Source organism: Homo sapiens, chromosome 21 (assembly GCF_000001405.40).
Source record: "Homo sapiens chromosome 21, GRCh38.p14 Primary Assembly".
Classification (NCBI taxonomy): Eukaryota; Metazoa; Chordata; class Mammalia; order Primates; family Hominidae; genus Homo; species Homo sapiens.
The window spans coordinates 38102616-38128752 of NC_000021.9; the positions used below are offsets into that span (position 1 = coordinate 38102616).

The 26137-nt window shown below is 39.0% G+C and overlaps 2 long non-coding RNA genes across 6 annotated transcripts in view; one reads left to right on the top strand and one right to left on the bottom strand.

The window, feature by feature from the left end:
• The window catches only part of DSCR4 (Down syndrome critical region 4), a 67350-nt gene extending 48605 nt beyond the window's left edge, over positions 1-18745 (bottom strand). The window contains exons 1-2 of the long non-coding RNA NR_147130.1: positions 18513-18745; positions 17692-17793 (exon numbers count right to left, since the gene is read on the bottom strand). This is a non-coding gene — a long non-coding RNA (Down syndrome critical region 4). The remainder of the gene's footprint in view (positions 1-17691; positions 17794-18512) is intronic.
• Positions 18746-18835: 90 nt separating this feature from the next.
• The window catches only part of DSCR8 (Down syndrome critical region 8), a 35061-nt gene continuing 27759 nt past the window's right edge, over positions 18836-26137 (top strand). For 3 of the 5 annotated variants that reach the window (NR_026840.1, NR_026841.1, NR_026842.1), the window contains exons 1-2: positions 18836-18986; positions 19697-19796. This is a non-coding gene — a long non-coding RNA (Down syndrome critical region 8). Of the gene's footprint in view, positions 18987-19696; positions 20054-26137 lie in introns of all 5 variants that reach the window. The other 2 variants (NR_026838.1, NR_026839.1) reach the window with 1 other exon arrangement.

Here is a 26137-nt window from a genome sequence, read left to right on the forward strand (position 1 = left end):
GAAAGGAACCACTCTTGGTTCTTACAAGATGGAATTTGCAAGAGAACTTAAATTACAAAGGAAAAATGGCATTAAATTAATATCTAATTTCTAAGCTAGTTGACCAAATTATTTGAGGCTTATTGGCGTTCTCTTGCTTAGTATTGATATAGTACTTACTTAACTTGCTATCACCATAAACAAAAACAAACAATGATGACATGCTCTTCAAACTGAAAAGCTGCAGGTAGCATTCCCCACCTTCAATAGTAGCTGCCTGAATCTGTGTCTCTCCATATAACCTTTGAAATCAAACCGTTCAATGAGGATATTAAGAAATATCACCCCTAACCCTCATGTACAACAAAACTGGAAGACAAAGAATAGTTTAGACTCTAAGTGTAATGGGAAGAACCTCTCAAACCAGCAGAATCAGTTTCAGACTCCTGACTAAAGTCTCTCTGATGGACAAGGATGGAAGAGGTGTGACTGCATTTGAGGATGTAGCAGGGAGGAAAAGAAAAAGCACCCCCCCAAGAAGAATAGGGGTGGATCTCAGGAGTGTACTGAGATGGGACATAGAGAACAGGGACATGAGGCCTCAGGGATCCACTGGCTACTGTGGAATTGAAAGAAAGAGGCTTGATGTTTCAAAGGACCATAGGTGTAAGTCTTCTAGTAAAGAAGCAGGCAATGTGGAGGCTTGCTGGTAAAGGGGAAAAGATAGCAAAAGCTAGAAGTTATAGGAAGAAGTGTTATACATCAGGAAGCACTGTGGCCACCTCCACACGGTAGAAGAAAGCAACGAAAAAATATACCCCACTTACAAGGGCAACAAAAAAATATAAAATACTTAAAATAAATGTTGTGGCCAGGTGCGGTGGCTCATGCCTGTAATCCTAGCACTTTGGGAGGCCAAGGTGGGCGGATCACGAAGTCAGGAGATTGAGACCAGCCTAGCCAATATGGTGACATCCTGTCTCTACTAATAATAAAAATATTAGTCAGGCATGGTGGTGCAAGCTTGTAATCCCAGCTAATCGGGAGGCTGAGGCAGAAGAATCGCTTGACCCCAAGAGGTGAAGTTCCGGTGAGCCGAGATCGCGCCAGTGTGCTCAGTCTGGGCGACAGAGCAAGACTCTGTCTTTAAAAAAAAAAAAAGTTGCAAGAAATGTGGAAAAAAAACTCATGAATAAGCCTTGAAAACTCTCCTGGAAGACCCATGATCAACTTGAACCATAAGGAAAATGCCCCTTGTTCATGGACAGAACAAGTCAACATTATAAACTTGCCAATTTTCCCAAAAAGAATGAATAAACAATACAATCACAATGAAAATAGCAAGAAGTTTGTTTTTTCCCCCTCGAGCTAGACATTCGATTCTAAAATTCACATGAAATATAAAGATGGGATAATAGCTAAGAAACTCCTGAAAAGGAAGATAAACTGGGTGGGGGGCAGCCCTAACCCTATCAGGTATTAAAATATAGCATTGAGCTGCTGCATTTAAACGATTCTGGAAATGTTCCATGAATAGACAGACCAATGAAACAGAATAGAAAGTAGATCCAAGTATATAAAAAATTTGTGTTTGATAAAGGATGAATGCATCCTTTGTTATACACAGACTTTCATTTGGGAATGTATAAATTTGGGGGAATAATGAGCTTTCATTAATTACTGTAGAAATTATGAACTTTCATTATTTATTGGGGAAATTATGAACTTTCTTGTAAATAATGTTGAAACAATTGGTTTCATTTGTAAGAGAAAAACGTGGACCCATACTTCACATTATACTTAAGAGGAAATTCTAAAAGATCTAATATATAAATGTAAAATTGAAACCACATAGTACTCAGATGAAACAAAACTTTGAAGGGAAGAAAATACTCAAAATCCAGAGACAATAAAAATAAAAGAAAGAATTAATAAATTATATTCTCTGTGTGTGTGTGTCTGTATGTTTTAATATAACAAATAGAACAGGAAAAATAATCAAAGCTAAAATAAAAGAACATGTTTTCACCTGAAGAATTTAAATCTGTGAATCAAAATACTTCATCTATTATCAGTTGACTAAAACCATAGACCTGGACACAGTTTTGTAAAATTTATAAAAGCTCACTCCCCAAGTATTTCAGCAGAAAAGTCAATCTACCTACAATTTAATAAAAATAATATTTGTCTCAGACTTTTCCATAGCAATGAACATCAGATATAAATAAAAGTAACATTTACAGAGATTTAAAAAAGAAAGATTGTAACCCAAGAATATAAACTAAACAAATTTTCACTCATCTGTAAAGGTCAAAGTAAATAGTCAAGTCTTTAGGAAGTAGTTCACTTCCATGCCATTTTGGAGAAAAATAAAAAAATAATAATTGAATATGTAGTACATCAGAGCAAAGTAAAAAACTTGGTAATATGAAAATTGTGGTAAATAAAGAACATTCAGGTTCATTTTTAAAAGTTGCAATTATTGAAAATACTCTTGAAACCATAGGGTAAATATTTTGAAAATGCTCCTGAAAAAGAAGAGTCTCCAGTCTTTCCCTCTGTCTCTCACAACACACAGCCACAAACACACTTACGCACTTTTAAAATATTAGATTATTACAACCAAAGTTAAAAATTAGCTGGAGAAGAAGGCCAAGGAATAAAAAGCAGCCAGTTTCCTAATTTTCTATAAAGAAGCATCAATAGAAACTGTTTTATGTTGGCAATACTAATTAGATAAATATTGGTTCAAGTGCATGTTCTCAGATTTGAAGAAACTTATCAGATAATTAAAAACAAAATATACCTCTTTCTAGTTATTAGAAGTACAAAGACATTAAAAATAATCAACTTACAAAAAGCGGAAACAAGAAAATAAAAGCACACAAGCAGGAAAATAAAGGTATGAAATGCTAACTCCCTAAAGTCTATTATTTTCTCATCTATAAAATGTGGGTTATAACAAACCTAACCATAGGTTAATTTTGAAGATTAATAAGATAATGTTCAAAAAGTATTTCTCAGTGTCTGGCTCACAATCGAAGCTCAAATAATGTTTATTATTACTATTTATAATAAAATATGACAGTTATCAATTATGAAAGTAAATTTTCATAGTTAAAATTTAAATAAAATATTAAACCTTTCTTATTAAAGGGAAAAATTAATACAATAAATAAAATAACAAAGAGAATTAAAAATTTAGGCTTGTGAAAAGGTATCTCAAACAACACAAATCAAAAGAAAGTAACAGTGTAGAATTCCAAGTAAAAAAGCATTAGATGATGCAAAGATGGTCATTTTATATGGATACATTTTTAAAAATCACAGTGATGATAAAATTGTCATAAAATTTAATTAATTAAACATTTATCTTTACAATAAATAAAAGTATTTGGAAATACAAGGGATAAGAAATAATTTTTAATGCTTTGCTCTCAGTATTTATAAATCAAGAAGACCAAAAATAGGGCAACCCTCTTTTGGGCCCCCTGTCCGTGGTGGAGAGCTTTCTTCAATTGTTCATTAAACTCTTGCTCCAACCTCAAAAAAAAAAAAAAAAAAAAAGAAGAAGAAGAAGAAATAATATAAATCAAGATGACCAAAAATATACCTAAGATGGTAGAGGACTTTAATAATGTAATTAATTAGATTTAATTAGTGTATATTAAACAATATACCTTTCCAAGGTTTTGGAAAACCTTAACAAAAACTATATCTTATGTAGTCTACAGGATTTAAAAAAATTTTATTTGTATATGACACACTCTATCATGACTATGTAATAAAAATAAAAACTAATGGGAATAAAACATTTCAAAAAATCCAGTAATTTTAGAATAAAAAGAAAACATTGTAAATATTAGCTAAAAAGAAAAAGAAAATGAAAGTTACTACTACAAACCATTTAGAAAGTAATGACCATGTAAAACTATATGTTAAAATTTCTGTACCAAGACAATTAAATGGGAAAAGAAAAGGCCTTTCAGCAAGTGGAGCTGGAAGAACTAGATAGCCACACAAGAAAGAATGAGTTGAAGTCCTATCTCACATACAAAAATTAGCAAAATGGAGGAGCTAAAACTCTAAAACTGTTAGAAGAAAATAAGCATAAATCCTCATGATCTTAGAATAGACAATGGTTTCCTAGATAAGACATCGAAAGTATAAGCTGCAAAAGAAAAAAATACAAAAATTGGACATCATCAAAATTAAAAACTTATGTGTTTCAAAGAATGCCATCAAGAAAGTGAAAGGAAAATCCACATAATGGGAGAAAATTTTTACAAATCATGTATCTTATAAAGCAGGGGTCCCCAAGCCCCAGACCACAGACTGTACCAGTCCCTGGCCTGTTAGGAACCAGGCTGCACAGCAGGAGATGAGTTGAGGGAAGTGAGCATTACTGCCTGGGCTCTGCCTCCTGTCAGATCAGCAGCGGCATTAGATTCTCATGGAAGTGCAAACCCTATTGCGAACTGTGCCTGCAAGGTGTATTAGTCCATTCTCATGCTGCTATGAAAAAATACCTGAGACTGGGTAATTTATAAAGTAAAGAGGTTTAATTGACTCACAGTTCGGCATGGCTGGGGAGGTCTCAGGAAACTTACAATCAATGGCTGGGGAGGTCTCAGGAAACTTACAATCATGGTGGAAGGCAAAGGAGAAGCAGGCACCTTCTTCACAGGGCAGCAGGATGGAGTGAGTGCAAGCAGGGGAAATGCCAGACACTTATAAAACCATCAGATCTCATGAGAACTCACTTACTATCACAAGAACAGCTTGGGGGAAACCACCCCCATGATCCAATTACCTCCACCGGGTCTTACCCTTGACACATGGGGATTACAGAGATTATGTGAATTATAATTCCAGATGAGATTTTGGGTGGGGGCACAGCCAAACCATATCATGAGGAATCAAGGTTGCACACTCTTTATGAGACCCCAATGTTTGATGATCTGAGGTGCAACGGTTTCATCCCTAAACCGTGCCCCTCCCCCTGCGCTTCCCACCCCCTGTTCCAATTTTGTGAAAAATATCTTTCATGAAACTGGTCTCTGGTGTCAAAAATGTTGGCGACCACTGTTACAAGGGACTCGTACCTAGAATATGTAAAGAATTATTACAACTCAATAATAGAAGGGTAAATAACTCACTTTTAAAAATTAGCAAAGGATTTGAATAGACAGTTCTTTTAAGGAGATATACAAATGGCCAATAAGCACATCAAGGATTGCTTGACATCATCAGCCATCTGCAAAATCGAAATCAAATCCACAATGAGATACCACTTCACACCTGTGACGATGCCTATAACAAAAAAGATGGATAAAAACAGGTGTTGGCAAGAATACGGATGGAGAAACTGGAATCCTCATACACTGCTGCTATGAATGTAAAATGGTGCAGCCACTTTGGAAAACAGGGTGGCAATTCCACTCCCAGGTATATACCAAGAGAAATGAAAACATACATCCACACGAAACCTTGTATACAAATGGCCATAGTAGCATTGTTCATAATAGCCAAAAAGTGGAAACTACCCAAATATTCATGAACTGATGAATGGATTTAAAAATGTGGTATATTCTTATAATGAAACATGCTTCCGTGATAAAAAAAAAAAAAAAAGAAATGAAGTGCTGACATGTGCTACAGCTGAGACAAATCTTGAAGACATGAAGCTAAGTGAAAGAAGCCAGTCACAAAGAACCCCATATGGTATGATTCTGTTTATATTAAATTTCCAAAATAAAGGAATTTATATAAAATGAAGTAGATTAATGCTTGCCTTGGGCTACAGGGGCTGGAGCAATTGAGGGTGATTTTTAAGGGGTGCAAGGTTTATTTGTATTGTCATGAAAATGTTCTAAAATTGATTGTTGTAATTGCAGAACTCTGTGAATATACTAAAAGTCATTGAATCATATACTTTAAATGGGTGGATTGTGTCACATATGAATTATTTCTCAATAGAGCTGTTTAAAAAAAAAAAAACAACTTGTTGGCCGGGCGCAGTGGCTCACACCTGTAATCCTAGCACTTTGGGAGGCCAAGGCGGGCGGATCACGAGGTCAGAAGATCGAGACCATCTTGGCTAACACGGTGAAACACCATCTCTACTAAAAATACAAAAAAAAAAATAAAAAATAGCCAGGCGTTGTGGCAGGCGCCTGTAGTCCCAGCTACTCAGGAGGCTAAGGCAGGAGAATGACATGAACCCAGGAGGCGGAGCTTGCAGTGAGCCAAGATTGCGCCACTGCAGTCCAGCCTGGGCTACAGAGTGAGACTCCCTCTCAAAAAAAAAAAAAAAAAAAAAAAAAAAAAAAACAACTTGTACTATGACTTCAACTTCCAAGTGGAATGTAGATGTTGTGATTGCCCAATGTTCCCAACACAATTACTGGACAAAAAGCCAGACAAATGACCAAAATCTTGTTTCAAGTCGCCATACAGTTGTAGAAACAATAATTAGATGAACTGGAATTTCACAGGAGGAGACTTCTAGAACAGTAGGAATTTTGCTAATGTTTAGTAAGGCCTCATGATCAGATTTGGCCCACACCAGGGAGAGAAACCGGAGATGTTTTTGTTGGTCACTCAGGGCTGGTATGGGCGCAAAAGATTATATAACTTGAGAAGCACAGACTTAATAGGTGTTTTCCCCAAGAAATTCTCTGTGTGCTGGAGATGAACATGGAGGACTCGAGAGCTAGGCTAAGGGTTCCTAAAAGACAGAGTAAAATCTGCTTTATTCTCCAAGTGCTTGAGAGACTGTATTTCCCCAGAGGGACTGGGCCTACCAACTAGTCCTCCAAGATGTTTGCCACATTTAAAGCTGCAGGATATGGGAGCTAAAGATCCAAGCTCAAATCTAGAACAGTAGGAATTTTGCTAATGTTTAGTAAGGCCTCATGATCAGATTTGGCCCACACCAGGGAGAGAAACCGGAGATGTTTTTGTTGGTCACTCAGGGCTGGTATGGGCGCAAAAGATTATATAACTTGAGAAGCACAGACTTAATAGGTGTTTTCCCCAAGAAATTCTCTGTGTGCTGGAGATGAACATGGAGGACTCGAGAGCTAGGCTAAGGGTTCCTAAAAGACAGAGTAAAATCTGCTTTATTCTCCAAGTGCTTGAGAGACTGTATTTCCCCAGAGGGACTGGGCCTACCAACTAGTCCTCCAAGATGTTTGCCACATTTAAAGCTGCAGGATATGGGAGCTAAAGATCCAAGCTCAAATCTAGATAGTGGATTTGCCACAGTCTTCCATGTTTGAGGGAGAGTGACCCACTAGTCTCTCAGCCCAAATCCTTGAAGGGTCTTCCTTGAGAAACAGGGAAGGACCAAAGATGGATGAGTCTTAGGAAAACTGCATATGTGTAATAGAACTAAGAGGGGAAGCGGGAGAGAGACAATGGGCCAAAAGCAACAACTGAAGATATAATGGCAAAGCATTTGCCAAAATGGATAAAATATTAATACATCAATTCAAAAATTCAAGAAACCCTAAGTAGCTCAGCAAACCCCAAGTAGGGTTTAAGAAAAAAGAAAATCATACTAAGGTACATTACAGTTAAACTGCTAAAACTTAGCAGATGAGCTCAAGTTTCTTTTCTGAAGCAAATTCATATCCTTAAATAGCCTTATTAAATAATAAATATTTAAAAATTTTAAAACTACTTATTCATCATAAGAAATTAAGAAAATAATAAAATCTAAGATTCACAGGAGATTGGGTTACCAAAAATAAATGCTGAAATTAAATTATCAAAAAAAGGGAAAACAGTTAAATTGATAAATTAATAAATCTTAAAGGTGGTTATTTTAATAATAAAAACCCAACAAAAGACGTGTATTTACTTTCAATGTTTATTATTTTAATTAAATAAATTTGATTCAAATTAAAAAGCACAAATGTGAGAGTGAAAAAATGACATGACTACAGATTCAAAGGAAACTACAAAAATAAGAGAAACTGCAAAAATATGCCTTCCATAAATAAATTTGATAGTTTTAATGAAAAGTATAATTTCTGGCCAAATATAAATTATAATATTTTACTTAAGAAGTAGAATATCTGAATAGGCCTATTACTATGCATATTACTAAAAGGATTATTCAGAAATTTTAAAATTTACTACAAGATTTTACAAGATTAGGTTGTATCACATAAAATTACTTTATGCTATATATAATAGAGTACATATGCATAATAATTGGCTATATTTGAATCTCAATTTATTTTTGACATTAAATTAACTTGTTACCAAGCTTGAGAAAGCACTACAACCATGCAACTAAAAAAATAGCACATGCGACACTCTCACTTATGAATATAGGTGCAAAAATTCTAAAGGAAATTCTAACAAATCAATTTCAATGCTAAATAAAAATAAGGCCATACCATTTTAAGTAGAATTATTCTAGGTATGCAGACTTACTTCACACTAGGCAATCTATCAGTTGAATTGATATAGCTACAGTTCAAAGGGAAAACTACACAATTATTTCTACCCATGCTGAAAACACATTAATAATTAAGATACATTTAAAAATTAATAAGCTTTATGTTTTAGAGTAGTTTTAGCTTTACAGATATATTGAGTAGAAAATACAAAGTTCCCATATACTCCCTCTCCCTACCACAGTTTCCTCTATTATCAATATCTTGCATTGATGTGGCACATTTATTATAATTGATGAGCCAATATTGATACACTATTATTAACTAAAATCAATAGGTTACTTTAGGTTTCACTCTTGGTATTGTACATTCTAGGGATTTTGACAAGTGTATAGTGATGAGTACCCACCACTAAAGTATCTTATGTAATAATAGTTTCACTGCCTTAAAAATCCCCCTTGTACTACCTATTCATCTCTCCCTGTCCTCCAGTCCCCAGCAACCACTCATCTTTTTACTGTCTCCAAAGTTTTGCCTTTTCCAAAACGTCATAGAGTAGGAATCATACAATATGTAGCCTTTTCAGATTGGCTTCTTTCACTTAACAACATGTGTTTAAGGCTCCTCCATGTCTTTTTGTGGCTTGACAACTCATTTCTTTTCATTACTAAATAGTATTCCATTGTATGGATGTGGATGTACCATAGTTTATTTGTCCAGTCACCTATTAAAACACATCTGGGTTGCTTCTAAATGTCGGTAGTTAAGAGGAAAGCTGCTGTAAACATTCATGTCCAGGTTTTTTTTTCTGTATGTAAGTTTCTAATTCATATGGGTAAATATGAGGGAGTGTTACTACTGAGTAGGAGTATGCCTAATTTTGTAAGAAACTGCCAAAATCACTTTCCAAGTGGCCATACCATTTTGCATTCCCACTAGCAATGAGTAAGAGGATCTGCTGCACAACATTCTCATCAGCATTTGGTGGTGTTTATGTTTGGGATTTTGGTCATTCTAATGGGTGTGTAGTAATATCTCGTTTTAATTTGAAAGTCTCTAATGATGTTGAGCATCTTTCCACAAGCTTATTTTCCATCTGTATATCTTCTTTGGTAAGGTATCTGTTGAGATCTTTTGCCTATTTTTTAATTGGACTGTTTGTTTCTTACTATTGAGTTTTAAGAGTTCTTTGTATATCTTAAATACTAGCCTGCATCTGACATGTGTTTCACAAAATCCTCCCAGTCTATGGCTTATTTTTTCATTCTCTGAACAGTGTCATTTACAGAACAGAAGTTTGAAATTTTAACAAAGTCCAACTTATCAATTTTTTTATGGATTGTGCTTTTGGATTTAAGAAGTCATTGCCAAATTCAAGGTCATTGAAATATTCTCCTATTTTACCTTCTCAGCATTTTACAAGATATATTTTTAATTAAAAACAAATAGATGCTCTGAATCAGTCATGGTCCCCACAAGGATTTTTAATAGAAACTGTAAGGAAAAGACAACTTACAATGGGCTTGGTAAGGTTAAGGAAATATATAAGGGATAATGCTTGCAACCATGATAAGCTGTCATCACCCAGGTCAAAAGGAAAAAAGGGAGGAGCTAGTGCTGGGACCCAGTGTGGAGGCTATGGTGAAGAAGCTATTATTGTGAACTCCACTACTACTATAGGTTTCATACCTAGGCAAGAAGAGCATGTAGTCCTCATAAGTTGATAGATATAAGAAAGGGGGCTGGGCGCGGTGGCTCACGCCTGTAATCCCAGCACTATGGGAGGCTGAGGCTAGCGGATCATGAGGTCAGGAGATCGAGACCATCCTGGCTAACACGGTGAAACCCCGTCTCTACTAAAAATACAAAAAAAAAAAAAATAGCCAGGCGTGGTGGCAGGCACCTGTAGTCCCAGCTACTCGGGAGGCTGAGGCAGGAGAATGGCGTGAACCCGGGAGGCGGAGCTTGCAGTGGGTCGAGATCGCGCCACTGCCCTCCAGCCTGGGCAGTGAGAGCAAGACTCCGTCTCAAAACGAAAAAAAAAAAAAGGAGCCCTAACTGGCAGGAACAGGAGCAAGGATGGGGGAGAGCCATCATTCTAAGAAATGGCTGACAAGCCATCGTTCTGAGAACTGGTTAACCAACAACAACCCACTTGCACAACACCCTGTTCCCAAATACCTTGTTTTGCACATAGACCCAGCAGCATGACCTTATCAGCACGTACCCTCTCCAGCACAAGCCTATAAAACTTCCCTCCAGCCCCTGACTCTTCGAGACAACCTCCTCTCTGCTGTGCACCTCATTGTTCTCTTGCAGTGTATCTTCGTACTTTCTACAATAAATCTGCCTTTCTTTATCCATGACTGTCTTGGTAAATTCTTTCACTGCCTGCAATGCTGGACCCAGCCAGTCACACCAGCAGCATTTTGGTGGTCCATATGGAGACCTCTCCCCTGTTCACTGTTTTTTCTCTTCTCCAACTCCAACCTCTTAGTGGACAGCATCCAAGCCTGGAGACATCTGATGGCCCCCCACTGCAGCTACTCCCTGGTGGATCAGAAGGTCCCAGTGGAAAGAAGTTTGACCGTCACTGCCCGATCGAGTGAGAGTTTAGAGTTTACTTTCCTTTCCCGTCTTCTGGTGGACAAACTCTAGTATCCCTCTAGCAGCTGATGGCCACTGGCCAGGGCCATTCCCTGGTGTGGCCTAAAGGCCAAGGAGTGAACCAGGTTTGGCTGCCTTGCTTGGAAGGGAGGATGGCTCTCTCCTAACCCTTCTGGTCAAAAGTCCCCAGTCCCTACATGCAGCACAATAGGCAGCGGCAGCTTGACCAGGGCAAACGCACACACATTTTGGGGAACTCAGACCCCGTCCTTCTCACTCTAAATTTCTCCTGTGAAGAAAGCCAGCCATCCTTTTCTGGACATTTTAAGCAACATGATCCCAAATAGCACCAGAACAGTGAGCCTTCCCTCAACCTTTGCCCCTTATACCTGGATTCAGCACCCAGTATAATTCATACGTGGACTGACCTGGGGCTGCTCACCCTGTGTTCATCCATCCAGTGTAAGGCTCTCATGCTGGGAGGTCCTTTCTAATAGGTGGGATGCCCCTTTGGAAAGTGCCTCTCAAGGCTCCTCAGTGGACATAAGTGGAACCCCCTTTCCTTGGCTGGAGGCCCCAAGAGAAATTGTGGTTTGTGTCCCCAGTAGACATTATTTTCCAATCCCCCCATGGGACAAAGCCCTTCCATTCTCTCAGACTCACCGATGGGCTGCATTCTAAAACATTGGGATAAACTTGACTCCCAGACTCTCAAAAGGAAACATCGAATTTTCTTGTGTAATACAGCATGGCCACTTTATAAACTTCCAGATCAGGAATCCTACTGGCTTCCAAATGGGACCTCTGCCCCCAGTAGTATTTTATAGGTTGACCTCTTTGGTCATAATTCTTCTAAACGGCTTGAGATTCCTTATATCTGAGGTTGTGTAACTCTTTCTAAGTTTGCTCTCCTCTCCCTTACATGGTTCCTTCCTTTACTAGGACAGCTGCATTTATACTTCTACTTCTCCTCTTCAGTCCTTTGTCTCTTTAATTTACTGGTTAAATTTGTTTCTTCCAGAATGTAGCAATTCCACAGCAAACTCCTAATGATGCAAGGATATCAGCCAATCACCCTCAGAAAACCCCATGAATCTCCTCTAGACTCACTAGATATCAATTCCATATTAACACGCTCTTTCTTCCTGAGTTCTATCCTCCAGCAGCATTTAATAGACTAAGTCCCATAACTCAGGACAATAACCCACAGGGTCCCCTAACAGACCAATAATCACAGGTAGGGCCCACACTGTGCCCACAGTCAGCAGGAAGCAGTTGGAAGATAAGACCTCCATACCAATGCCAAAGATTTGTCATTGTTGTTCTGTCAGCGGGGAACATGGAGTCCTGGTAAGTTAATAGATACAAGAAAAGGGCTCTAGCTGGCAGGAACAGGAATGAGGATTGGGGAGAGCCACTGTTCTAAGAGATGGCTGACAAGCCATTTTTCTGAGAAACACCTAACCACAAACAACCTACTTGCACAACATCCTGTTCCCAAATACCTTGTTCCACAGGTAGCCCCAGCAGCATGACCCTATCTGTACATAGCCTCTCCAGCATAACCTTATCAAACTTCTCTGCTGTGCTGCCTGTTGCTCTCTTGTATCTTTGTACTTTCTCTAACAAATCTGACTTTCTTAACCCACAACTGTCTTGGTAAATTCCTTTACTGCCTGTAACACCAGCCCCAGCCTATCACACCTGTGACAGATGGAGAGGATGAAGTACCTTTACTTCTCTCTCCTCACCCTCAATAGCATGCCAGTGATCCTTGCTGGCCAAACACAATCAGAGGGCAGCCAGCAAGGGAGCCTGGGGGCTGCTGTCTGCATGGGTGATCATCCTGGGGCACAGGCAGAGCCAACATGAGTAGGCTATCCCTGTGAGAGAGGGCACATGGAGCATGAGGACCACAGCTCTTTGTGTAACCAAAAATTAGTGTTCCACACTCTAGACTCTTGCAGACCAAGGGTTGAAGCTGAGCTCTAGCACTCATTGGAAAGTTGATGTCTTTAAGCCTCTGCATTTTATGTGTAATTAGGATTAATAACAGTGCTACATTATAGATATTAAGATGACTATTTATATTAAATGTTTGTGAAGTATTAATGAGTGCTTAGTAAATGCTAGCTGCTATCACTACTGCTGCCACTACTATCAAAACTACTACCATTACTACTACTAATAACATAACTACTATTGTCACTACTATTACCACTACCATTAGTACTACCACCACTATCATCACTACCATCACTACTAATACTATCATTACCACTACTATTACCATTACCACGACTATCATTACTACTACTACCACCTCCACCATTACTACTACTAATGCTATCATTACTACTACTGCTTCTATAATTACTACTCCTACTCCTACCATTACTACTACTAGTAGTATCACCATTACTACTACTACTATCATTACTATTACCACCACCATTACTACTATCATTACTACTACTACCACCACCATTACTACTACTGCTGTCATTACTACTACTGCTACTATTTACTCCTACCGTTACTACTACTACCACCACCACCATTACTACTACTATCATTGCTACTATTACTACTGCCATCATTACTATTACTACTATTAGTTTAGTCATTATTATCAGAGGCGAGGAGAAGCAGGCAGCATAACCAAGAACATAAGTATTATTTCTCAATATGAGACAGAATCTCTATATTAAATTAATAGCCAAAGCCATACCCAGGAATGAAATATTTACATGTTCTCACTGAAACCAAGAACCAAATAACCAGAGGATTGCTACCATCATTATCATTGAATGTTCTAGAAATTTTAGCCAACATATTAAGATATGCAACATTAGGAAAGAGAAAAAGTTTACCTTTTTTGGTTAACATTTACAAAATATGATGGTTCTCTGCCAAGAAAATCACTCCCCAATTTAAAAATTAAGTGGCTAAACACAAAATGAATGTATAAAATTTAACGGTTGTTCTGAAAACTAGGATAAAACTATTCATAATATTTAATGAAGATAATTTTCCACTTACAATAGCAACACAAACTATTAAGTGCCTACATAGCTTTATATATAATTTTGCAAACAATATAAAGGCTAGTAAAAAATAAAAACAAAAAACTTATAACTACATTAAGAAAACTGGGCACAGTGGCTCATGCTGGTAATCTCAGAACTTTGGGAGGCTGAGGCAGGAGGATCGTTTGAGGCCAGGAGTTGGAGACTAGCCTGGGCATCATTGCAAGATCACATTTTTACAAAAAAAAAAAAAAAATAGGCACGCATAGAGGCATGTGCCTGTAGTCTGTTTACTTGGGAGGCTACAGGTAGCTAGACTACAGTAATGGTAGTAGTAGTCATGGTAGTAGTAGCAAAAATGACATTGGAAAAATGTCGATTTTTTCCAAATTCATTTATAGGATTAACACAATTGCACTTAAACTTCCACTGAGATTTATTATTAAATGTGTTCAAGTAAAACTAAGATTCATCTAGAAGAATGAATTTATAAGTAGAGCTCAGAAAAAATTTTTTAAATGCAAAACAGAAAAGATTAACCAGTGAGATTTGCCCTGTTATATATAGAAACATAACACTAATATAGACAAAATATGTGGTTTTGGCACAAGAATAGATTATTGGAACAATGAAATGAAACAGAAACTCTGGGAAAAGAATACCTACATTAATATAATGAAGTAAACCCAGACATGTATTCTGACACATTACCCCCAAAGAAATACCAGGTGGATTAAATATTTAAATGTCAAAAATAAGCCACCATAAAAATCTTAGAAGAATATGCAGCAGAATATTTGTGTATCTCACAGTGAAAAGAGGGTTTTACAAGTATAAAGGTAATACAAAATAGAACAGAAAATTGATATGACAACATGAAAGAAAACCTTTTATATTTCAAAAGTCAGCTTTCAGTTTTTCCCAGTAACAGCCATTGTTTATAACCTTGGGGTCTAAGTTTCCAGGCTTGTATTGGAACAGGATTAGAAAAGGAATTATACTATACATTGGGTGACTGTGTCATCACCCTCTAGGATGATTTCTTCTTGGAATGAGACTTAAGATACCATAGTTCTACTTTCATTGTGCATTGATACATTAAGTCATTTATAACATTTCCCAAAACTCCAATCTGGAGAACTTTCTCTATCACCAGGGCATTGCTTTGGAATTCAGGGAGGCCTGAGTTCTGGATGGGAATGGGAGTGAGATGGTCCAGTGAATGTTAACAGTCACTATTATTATCCTTATTTTACAGAGGAGGAATATTCTGCTCCTTTATGAGCCAACATTTACTTTCTCTGAATTAAATGTTACTGGTTTCTTATTTATAGACAGCAGAGATTGACTGGGCACACTTTCCCCCACAGTTTCCAAGACTCTGTAATTATATGCAAAATAGTAAAATTAAATTCAATCTAGATGAATCCATATTTCAATAAGGATATTAGTGACTTAGGTCTAAAAATTAAAATTAGACTCGTCAATCCTGTTATGCTTTCCATTCAAATGTTTTTCCTAAACAGCAACAACAACAAAAACCTGATTTCCTAATAGTCCATTTAGCTTTTATTTCATGCCATTTACAAAGTTTAGGCAACATAAATGCACTTTATGCATATCTCTGTCCCATATCTCAGTCTAGATAGTTGTCTAGATAATTTTCTAGACAACCTAGATAATCAATGGGAAGGCTGAATGGCAGAGCAGAAAAACCATGTCTTCAGGGTCTGAACTATTGAGAGTAAGTATCATCTCCACCACTTAACAACTGTACAACTCTGGGAAGATGTGCTGGGCAAGCCCTTTCAGTCTTGTTGGCTTACCCAGTAGTCAGGATTTGTTGCAAGAATACAGTGCCAGCTGTGTTCCAGCCACTGCTCTCAGGGTACTGTTCCCTTTCCCTTTATATGTTCTGATATTTCTCCCATAGCTACCAACCAGCCCATTCTTCCAGTCTTTCTCTGTTCAGATGCTAATGGGAGAGAGTTGATGGTCTTAGATAGTCACCATAATCCCTTTAGAGCAGAGATTTGTTGTAGAAGCCAGGCCACTTTGAAGGACACAGGCTGCCTGATATTCTGGCTGCCCTTGGGTCAGATCTCATCCCTGGCCAAAGTGGTGCCACCACTTTCTCAATGATTGCTTATTTCTCCCTCCTTCAACATGCTTTAGAAGGCAGCGTTTCCCTTAGAGGAGCACAGTGGGCTGGGCAGCAACAGTGGATGACGTGCGTATTACGGCACTGCTGGGTATCATCATAACCAACATGAACTTGTGGCTTGTTCTTACAATGCGCCAGACGTCTCATGAAACATTCAACGTTTCTTAATTCACCCTCACAACCAGAATGAGGTAAGTGTTGTTCTTATTCTTATTATTTGATATTTTATAGATAAAGAGAAGCTTACAGCATGAAATAACTTTCTCAAAATGATAAGATCAGTAAGCGGAATATTCTTTTTTGTTTTTTTTTTTGAGACGGTGTCTCGCTCTGTTGCCCAGGCTGGGGTGCAGTGGCCCGATCTCGGCTCACTGCAAGATCTGCCTCCCGGGTTCACGCCATTCTCCTGCCTCAGCCTCCCCAGTAGCTGGAACTACAGGCACCTGCCACCACTCCCGGCTAATTTTTTGTATTTTTAGTAGAGATGGGATTTCACCGTGTTAGCCAGGATGATCTGGATTTCCTGACCTCGTGATCCGCCCGCCTCGGCCTCCCAAAGTGCTGAGATTACAGGTGTGAGCCACCCTGCCCGGCCAGTAAGCGGAATATTCAATTGGATTCCAGAGTTTATGCTTTTAGCTATCAAGCTATACTCTTTCTCACTATATTTCCCTGAGCTTTGGTTTCCTTATCTATAAAACTGGAACCGCACTGCCTGTTTGCCTTTAGAGCTATAGGTAATAAATGTTATGCATTTATTATGGTAAATAACATGTAGTAGAGCAAAGCATGGAAATTCAGGAAGTAACAAAGAGCAGTCATAAGAATGTCTATGTGGTAAATCTAGATAAAAATTACTTGTATACACATTTACAGTAGCGCCTTTAAAACACACACCGATAGCACTTTAGTAAGTCAAGAATGCATGTTGCACCAATTAGAGAAAACACCAATTTTTTAAAAAAACATATAAATAACAAGCTAATAGAAGAAGAAATGTAATTAGAAAAATTTAAATAAGCCCAAAAACTTTAAGGAAGGACAAAAAAAATCATAGAACAGAGAAAATAGGAATCAATGGTAAGATGGTAGATTTAACCTTGAATTACAGTAAATATAAACAGACTAAATATTGAAATTGAAATATAAAGCTCATCAGAGAAGGTAATAATATCAAGCAAAGCTAAACAAGCTGCTTACTTTAAATATAAAGATATCGACAGGTTGAAAGTAAGTAAGGGATGGTAAAACTACTATGCAAAGCAAAAGTTACAAAACCAAAGCAAAGACTGGCTCGTTTCAGAATAATCAACGTTTCAGGTTTAATATGAAATAATCGTAAATTTGTTTATACCTAATAACATAGCCATAAAATAAAAATTGACAGATAAACAATCATGTTAAGAGCCTGTATAAGCCAGATTTCTCCAGAAAAACAGAATCAAAAGGATATATACATTAAGAATTATATTAAGAAATTTATTTTAGCATATTGGCTTACATGATTGTGGGGCTGGCAAGTCCAGAATCCGTAGGAGAAGCTGGCAGGCTGAAACTCAGGCAGGAAACGATGTTGCAGACTTTAGGCAGAATTTTTTCTTCTCTAGGAAAATTCAGTTTTTGCTCTTAAGGCTTCTGATTGTATAAGGCCCATTCACAGTATGAAAAGTAAGATTTATGTAAAGCCAACTGATTGTAGATGTTAACTACATCTACAAAATACCTTTGCAGCACTACCTAGATTAGTGTTTGATTAAATAAATGGGCAGTAAAGGCCGGGTGCAGTGGCTCACGCCTGTAATCCCAGCACTTTGGGAGGCCGAGGCAGGAAGATCACTTGAGGTCAGGAGTTCAAGACCAGCCTGGCCAACATGGTGAAACCCCATCCGTACTAAAAATACAAAAATTAGCCTGGCTTGGTGGCGGGCACCTGTAATCCCAGCTACTTGGGAGGCTGAAGCAGGAGAATCACTTGAACCCAGGAGGTTGTAGTGAACCGAGATCGCGCCACTGCATTCCAGTCTGGGTGACAAGAGCAAAACTCTGTCTCACCACAAAAAAAAAAAAAAAAAAAAAAAAAAAAAGGCACTAAAGCCTGGCCCCCATGATGACACAGGAAACTAATCGTCATGGAGACTTTATCCACACTTTTGAATATATGTTACATTTCAACATTAAAACACACACACACACACAAAATCATAAAGCAATCAACAAAATTAAGCTGAATGCTTCGTAATTGCTGGATTCCCTGGGAAGCTGACTCTGAGATGGAGATTAGCGTGCAGGACATTTCTTACGGGTTGTTCTTGGGATCAATACCTGTGGAGAGGAGAAGCTGAGGCAGGATCAGGAAGCGGGGAAGTAGAGTGCAATGCTGGTGAAGCGGCATCACTGTCTGGGGTAAATATCCGGGGTTCATCATCTCTCGTCAAGATGATTAACGACATGGACACACATGGGTGAGTTAAGAAGCGGAAAGTTTAATAGGCGGAAGAAAAGAGTGAGGAGACCAGCTCTCAGACATCCTTAAGGGAAAGGCTGGCCCGTGACTGACGGCAGCAGGTTTTACGGGCAGGCTTGAGGAGGCGGTGTCTGATTTACGTGGAGCCCAGAGATTGGTTCGACCAGGGGTGACGTTTACGTAGCGCGCAGGGAAGGCTGGTCACCCCACCCTAATCTTGTTATGCAAATAGGCTTCCCACTTGGCAGGGGCCGTCTTGTCCACTCGTTTCTGTAAACATGGGTGGCAAAAAGAGAAGATGGAGCTGCCATTTAGAACATGCCTAATCCCAGGTAGTGTTTTTTGTTGTTGTTGTTGCTGCTGTTGTCGCTTTTTGAGTCGGAGTTTCGCTCTTGTTGCCCAGGCTGGAGTGCAATGGCGCCATCTTGGCTCACCACAGCCTCCGCCTCCTAAGTTCAGGCGATTCTCCTGCCTCAGCCTCCTGAGTAGCTGGGATTACAGGCGTGAGCCACAGCGCCGGCCCCAGGTAGTATATTTTTATTGGCACAACTGCCGGTATTTGCCTGTGCAAGCTTTCAGCTTGCTTGTCTGTGTCTGCAGCTCGATTTTCCAGGTTGCTTTTTGTTAGAAAAGAAAATGATTTGGGGGCTGCTTTTCATTAAAAGGAAGACCTTACTGAGGACTCCCATACCTTCACTATCTGCCTAAGTACTTTCTTCTTAACTCCTATATCACTGGGTCAGCAGCAACCCCAGTCAAACCTCAAGGGAGACGGGAAGATGGGACGATCTGTCAGAGGTATGCTGAGTTGAGGCAAGAGAGCTGACCTTTATGGATTGCCAATCAGTGACTCATTGGAAGTGGGGCAACCTGGAAGGAAATGTGGCCTTAGGTGAGGCAGCTGTCTTCAGAGGAGGCAATTTCTTTGTATCTGGAGGGGCAATTGTTAGTGTTCCCCTGGACTGAAGGGTGAATTATGGAGAATGGAATAGAACGATTTGTTACTATGATTTGGTTGATGACTTATTTCCTGTTTCCTTAGCTTCATCTTGCTGAGCAAAAATGAAGGAGCCTGGACCCAACTTTGTTACTGTGAGAAAGGGTCTTCATTCATTCAAGATGGCATTTGTTAAGCACCTACTGTGAGTAGATGATCTCCTGTCAAAGACAGTTAACAAATCCTCGGAATATTGCTTCATGTACAGTTATTGGAGATGAGTAACTTACATTCTCTTAATTGTAATGGTTCCTTGGAAAGTCATCGTGGAAAATGAAGGCTGGCTCATACATTTTCCCAGACAGGAATTTGGCTGCCAACAGGGAATTCTAAACAACTAAAAACTCCAGATGATGAATGCACAACATAATGATGGTTAAATTAAAAAAAAAAAAGAGCACGGTAATAAAATTTCCATGAAATATTTTGTGTAAGCGCAGATAATCAGTCATTTTCTTTATAGAATTCTTATTCGTAAATAATTTAGAATACTTTGTTCTTTATAATATATGATGGGCAACTATAGTATGATTCTTCTGAGTGACTCAGTTCTTTTTTTTTTTTCACATTTAATGACTTTGTTTCTCCTAAGTGAATGCACAGATAGTATATTAATCAGGGTTCTCTGGAAAAACCAGAACCAATTTATTATCAGGTACTGGTTCATGTGATTGTGGAGGCTGAGAAGCCCCATGATCTGCTCTCTGCAAGCTGGAGACCCAGGAAAGCTGATGAAAGTCAAAGGCCTAAGAGCTGGAGGGCCGATGGTATAGATTGCAGCCCAGGTCTAAAGGCCTGAGAACCAGAAGCACAGAGGGCAGAAGATCAATATTCCAGCTCAATCAGGCAAAGAGAAAAAGTCCTCCCTTCCTCTCCGTTTTTCTTCTATTCTGACCCTGGATGGACTGGATGAGGCCCAGCCACATTGAGGAGAGCCATCTGCTTTAATCAGTCCACCAACTCAGATCCTGATCTCTTCCAGAAACACCTTCACAGATACACCCAGAAATAACATTCAACCTGTTAGGAGTATCCCATGGCTCAGTCAAGTTGACACACAAAACTAACCATCACAGATACACATCAAAGTTAAATAATATTAACACAGACTTTGGCAAGCTGTATTTTAAAACACAGTAGGTTAGTGAGTCTGGTTTAAGAGCACTAGATGAAACCACATATAAGGATGTTTTTGACATTCTGTGTCTGACCCTTCAGACTCCCTGCCCTCCTCCCCACCATGTTCTGAACCCCAGAACACTGACCTCTACGAACAGCCCCACATGGGCTCTGTTACCCTCTGGCTTCCCATTGGCCCATGGAGGCACAGAGGAAGTTGGGGCAGGAGGACAGAATGGTTGAGGTACGGATGCTCGAGCTCTCAAGGCCACAAGTCGGCAGGGGCTACATTCCTGTGTGAAGCTCACTACCCCTCAGTCGTCTCCTCTAGCTCTCTGTGGGGTCCGGTGACCTCTCTCCTTACAGTCCCATTAGCCCTAGGGGAGGTAATGGCTCTCCAGGGAGTGCTGCCCATGGGTGTCTCAGTATCACTTGTTGGTTCCCATAGCCCCACCCACACCTGTGTAAATAGGCCTTCATTAACCTTAGCTCAGTTGCCTGGTTTGAGTGTACCATCTGTTTCCTGCCAGCACTCTGACTGATAACAGCATTTTTGATATAGGTCTCCATCACATGTATGTACCTTTGTGTCCTCTGTATTCCTCATTGATCAGGGTTATAAATTTTCTCTTCCTGTGACACTAAATTGCCCTTAATAAAGCTTATTGACCCTAAAAGTCAAAGGGGGCAAAATCAGAGCTAGTCTCAATTCCTTAAAGTGGACATTATACAGAAGGTTAGGAAATATTAAATACAAGTATTCACATATGTGTTCCCCCCGTCAAGCTAATAAACATATGTATGTGCTTTTTGAAAACCAGTGTAACCGCAGGTTGTCTCTTGTTCCTAGTAGGTGCTGATTAGAGCAATGAGTTCCAACTTGGCAGTTTTTGGAAACTGAACATGAGCTGTTAATGTCTCTGCATCAACTCGGGTTTCCTTTTGCTTTTGTTTAAATTGAAGTTTTTCACTTAATATAAGATTTAGAGATTTCTGTCTCAGAGCTCGCCAAGATTTGCTACTTTTGTCTACCCTTGTTTTTAATCTTAAAAATTTGGATTTACTTAATAATTCCAAGTATGAACATTAATGTTGCTTTTATCTTCCATTTTACTGCACAGGAGGAGGGGAACAGATACCAAACTACTGATTATTTTACTTCCATTGTTAATACACATGAGAATATAAGTCTTCTTGTGTACCTGGAACTTACAAAAATTGGTTTCAGCTACTCAGGAGGCTGAGGCAGGAGAATGGCGTGAACTCAGGAGGCGGAGCTTGCAGTGAGCCAAGATCGCACCACTACACTCCAGCCTGGGAGACAGAGCGAGACTCCGTCTCAAAAAAAAAAGGAAAAAAAATTGGTTTTTAAAAAATTACATAACATATGTAATTTTTAAAACATATGTTTTAAACATATGTAATTTTCAAAAAAAAATTGGTTTTTAAAAAATTACATAACATACTTATGTTAAAATATACATAACATAAAGTGTATCATTTTAACCATTTTTTAAGTGTACAGCCTAATGGCATTAAGTACATTTGCATTGTTGTGCAGCTATCCCTACCATCCACCTCCAGAACCTTTTTTTATCCTCCAAAATTGGAACTGTGTACCCATTACACAATAATGCCCCGTTCTCTTTTCCTGTAAGCCCCTGGCACCCACCATTCTGCTTTGCCTCTAGGAATTTGACTACTCTAGGTACTTCACATAGGTAGAATCATGCGGTATTTGTCCTTTTGTGACTGGCTTATTCCACTTACCATAATGTCTTCAAGGTTCATCCATGTTGTATTAATAGCATGTCTTGGAATTCCTTTCCGAAATTTCTAAGGCTGAATAATATTCCATTGTATGAACAGACCACATATTGTTTTTCTGTTCATCTGTTGATGCAAACTTGGGTTGCTTCTACCTTTTGGCTGTTGTGAATAATACTGCTGTGAATATAGGTGTACAAGTATTTATTCAATCTTTGCTTGCAGTTCTTTGAGCTATATATGCAAAAAATGGGATCCTGGATTATACAGCAATTCTATGTTTAATTCTGTGGAACCACCATATTCTTTTCTGTGGTGGCTGCACCATTTTATATTCCCAATAGCAGTGCGCAGAAGTTTTTCCACATCCTTGATAGCACTTGTTATTTTCTGTTTTTTGTTTTGTTCTGATTTATCTTTTGACATGGAACATTCTTATACATGGTTACACATCCATTATGGTGGTCTTCATCAAGTTAGAGGCTGCAAAGCATCCATATCATTCATTCTTCTAGGGTTAAAGGCATTTGTAAAATATCAAATTCAATAACACTGCTAAATGTCTTAAACTTTGTGTGTGGGAGGGCGTAACTACTGGATTTTATAAGTGCTTATTACACTTGAAGATGACAGATTTCTTTTCTATTGAACATTTTAAAGAACAATTTAGTTCATCCCAACTGATATTTTCTGAAGGCCGCTATGTACCAGGTTCTGTTACAGGTGAATGGACCCATCAGTGAACAAAACCTTAAAAAAATTACAAATCATTTGGAAATCCACTATTACAGTGGCTTCTTCAGGGATGATACTGTTTTCCAATATGCTACCTAGGAAATGTGCTTCTTTCCAAACTCACTGTTATGTCTCAAGCGATTAGTTCATGGCTCAGAAGAAACATAAGTGAGAGGTGCTCCTTCTACAGCCCTTACTTTGTGCTTGTTTCTGGCACTCACCACTTTCGACCTTGTCATTCGTGTGCTTGTTTTATTTTCTTACAAGACTTTGAGTTTCTTGACAGGATTTCATCTGTATTTGATTTTCTACAATTATCTGCAGCATTTTGCATATAAGCATTAAAAAGATTTATTTCATTTGCTGAATAATAATGAACATGGCTGTTTTGTATTCTTTTTATGAGATGGTCAGTCACATGCAGCCACGGAGGAGACACAGGGGAGGCTCAGGAAGACAGAGTATTATACTCACAGGTCCTACAAAGAGGAGGCACGCCATGCCACGCAGGACCACACGGGAAAAAACACCAGAGTGGTCAGGAGGCAGGAGGCAGGAGCTCAGGAAATCATTCAACCTTTACTGAGGTTTCGCGGGAAAGGCAGGTGAGCAGCTTAGGATGGGCTAGTTTGAATCATCCTGGTGGGCTCTAAGCTCTAGGGATGGCCCTAGTTGTCTAGTACCCAGCTCTGGAATGGTTAAGGCAGAAATTTTAAAAAATGAAAATTTAAAAAATATATATGTGTACAATATCATACACACATATATACAAAATAATACACATATATATTGTGTTTGTGTGTACACACACACACACACACACACACACGTGACAACTTCATGCTAGGGAGAATGGTGATTCTAGACATCCTGAACTCCAGAATGATGGTGAAATAGGTAATGCAAGTCACCTCCCCACCTGCTCCTGACTCGGTCGGCTCCCTCGGTGGGTGAGAGGGTTGTTGGTCTGCCCTTTGGCGCCCTCTAGGTGAGAACACTGCATAGGCCATTCTGGTCTCATTGCTGCAGTTTGTACTTTTCATAGGAAAAAATTAGCAAGCTGACCTCTGTTTTGGAATGCCTCAGAAGCTAGAATAGAAGCCCACTCACTCTCCTACAGCACCCCTTTATCCCCACACACCTGTCTTTGCTAGGTAATAAGCAGATGCGGCTTGCAGACACAAAGCGTGAATACGATTAGTAAATTCACCTTGTGAAATGCAGCTCCACCTTCCTCTAATTTGGCCTTAGGGGTTGTTTTGCTATTTTTATGAGTCTGTATGTAATTAGCCACAATTAAAATCTGAAGTCTCTAAGTATTTTCACAGTCCAATTTCATCTGAGGCAATGAAAAATAAATAACTCACAGTGACTTTATTACTTCTGTTTCTCAGATTTGGGGAAGCAGAATAGTGAAGTGGGTCTCTTCACACATCCACAGGACAGGTAGGATTCGCAGGGGCTTGAAAGTCCCATAACTCAAGTGCATTTCACCTGTACTGTCAACACTGTCTATGGGCAAGACTTAAGGCAGCAACGTCCAGCAATTCTTTGTGTGCGAGGATCTCATTTCATCCTTCTTCCAGGGAGGAGAGGGGTGAGAAAAAATGACTCCCAAACCTCTTGTTACCATCCTGTCTCCACTTCTGAGCTCTGTCATTGTTTATGTCATTTGTATTCCAGATTCCAAAAGGATATGAAAGATCTGCCTGAGATCTAGTAGCATATTTCCAGCTGGCTCTTGGGAATCAAGAATATATACAAAGCATTGTTGACAACAAATGTTTATTTACTCTGAAGATGGTTTCCCCTTCTGTGTGAGTCAGGGTTCTGCAGAGAAACAGAACCAATGGGATATACATAGTGCTGTGGTTTGAATGTGTCCCCTCCAAATTTCATGTTGAAACTTAATCCGTATTGAGGTGATATTAAAAAGTGGAGCCTTTTGGGAAGTGATTAAGCCATGATGGCTCCACCATCATGAATAGATGAGTGCCTTATAAAAGGGCTGGAAAGAAATGGATTAGGCCCTTTTGCCCTTCAGCCTTCTGTCACATAAGGATACCATCAAAAAACACCACTGATGGAGCATTCCCTCACTAGATATGGAACCAGCCAGCCTTGATCTTGGACTTTCCGGACTCCAGACCTGTGGGAAATAAACATTCTGGTCTTTATAAACTACCTCGTCTTAGGTGTTTTGTTAGAGCAGCACAAACAGACAGGACAGAAATACATGTAGGAGGAGACTGGCTTATTTGATTACAGAGAGCAAGGAGTCCCACCATCTGCTATCTGCAAGCTGGAGAACCAGGAAAGCTGAGGGTTCAATTTAGTCTGAGTCTGAAGGCTTGGCAACCAAGGGAGCTGCTGGTCTAAGTCCCGGAGTCCAAAGGCCCAGAACCAGTAGCTCTGATGTCTGGGGGCCGAGGAAGATGAATGGACCAGTTCAAAAAGAGAGAGACAGAGAAGTCCTCCTCCCTCCACTTTTTTGGTCTATTCAGACCCTCAATCAATTAGATGATGCCTGTCCACACTGGTGATGGTGGATCTTCTGATTCAAATGTGAATCTCTTTAACCATCATAGCTTCTAAGTTCCCACCTTTCTTCCATCCTTGCCCCATCCCTTCTTCTCTAACCTCACCTTGTCCTCCCTTACCTCTATCCTTTCCTCTCTCTCCTGCATACATTTTGTGGAAAGCCTATGTATTAAGGGTAGACACAAGGCAAAATTGTTTCTCTGTTCATGGAACTTAGATACTACTGCACCAGCTACTGGAGAAAGTATTATGCACTTGCCAAGTAATACACAGGATTTTTGTCACTTATAAACACAACAAAGCTCAAAATCTACCATCATCATA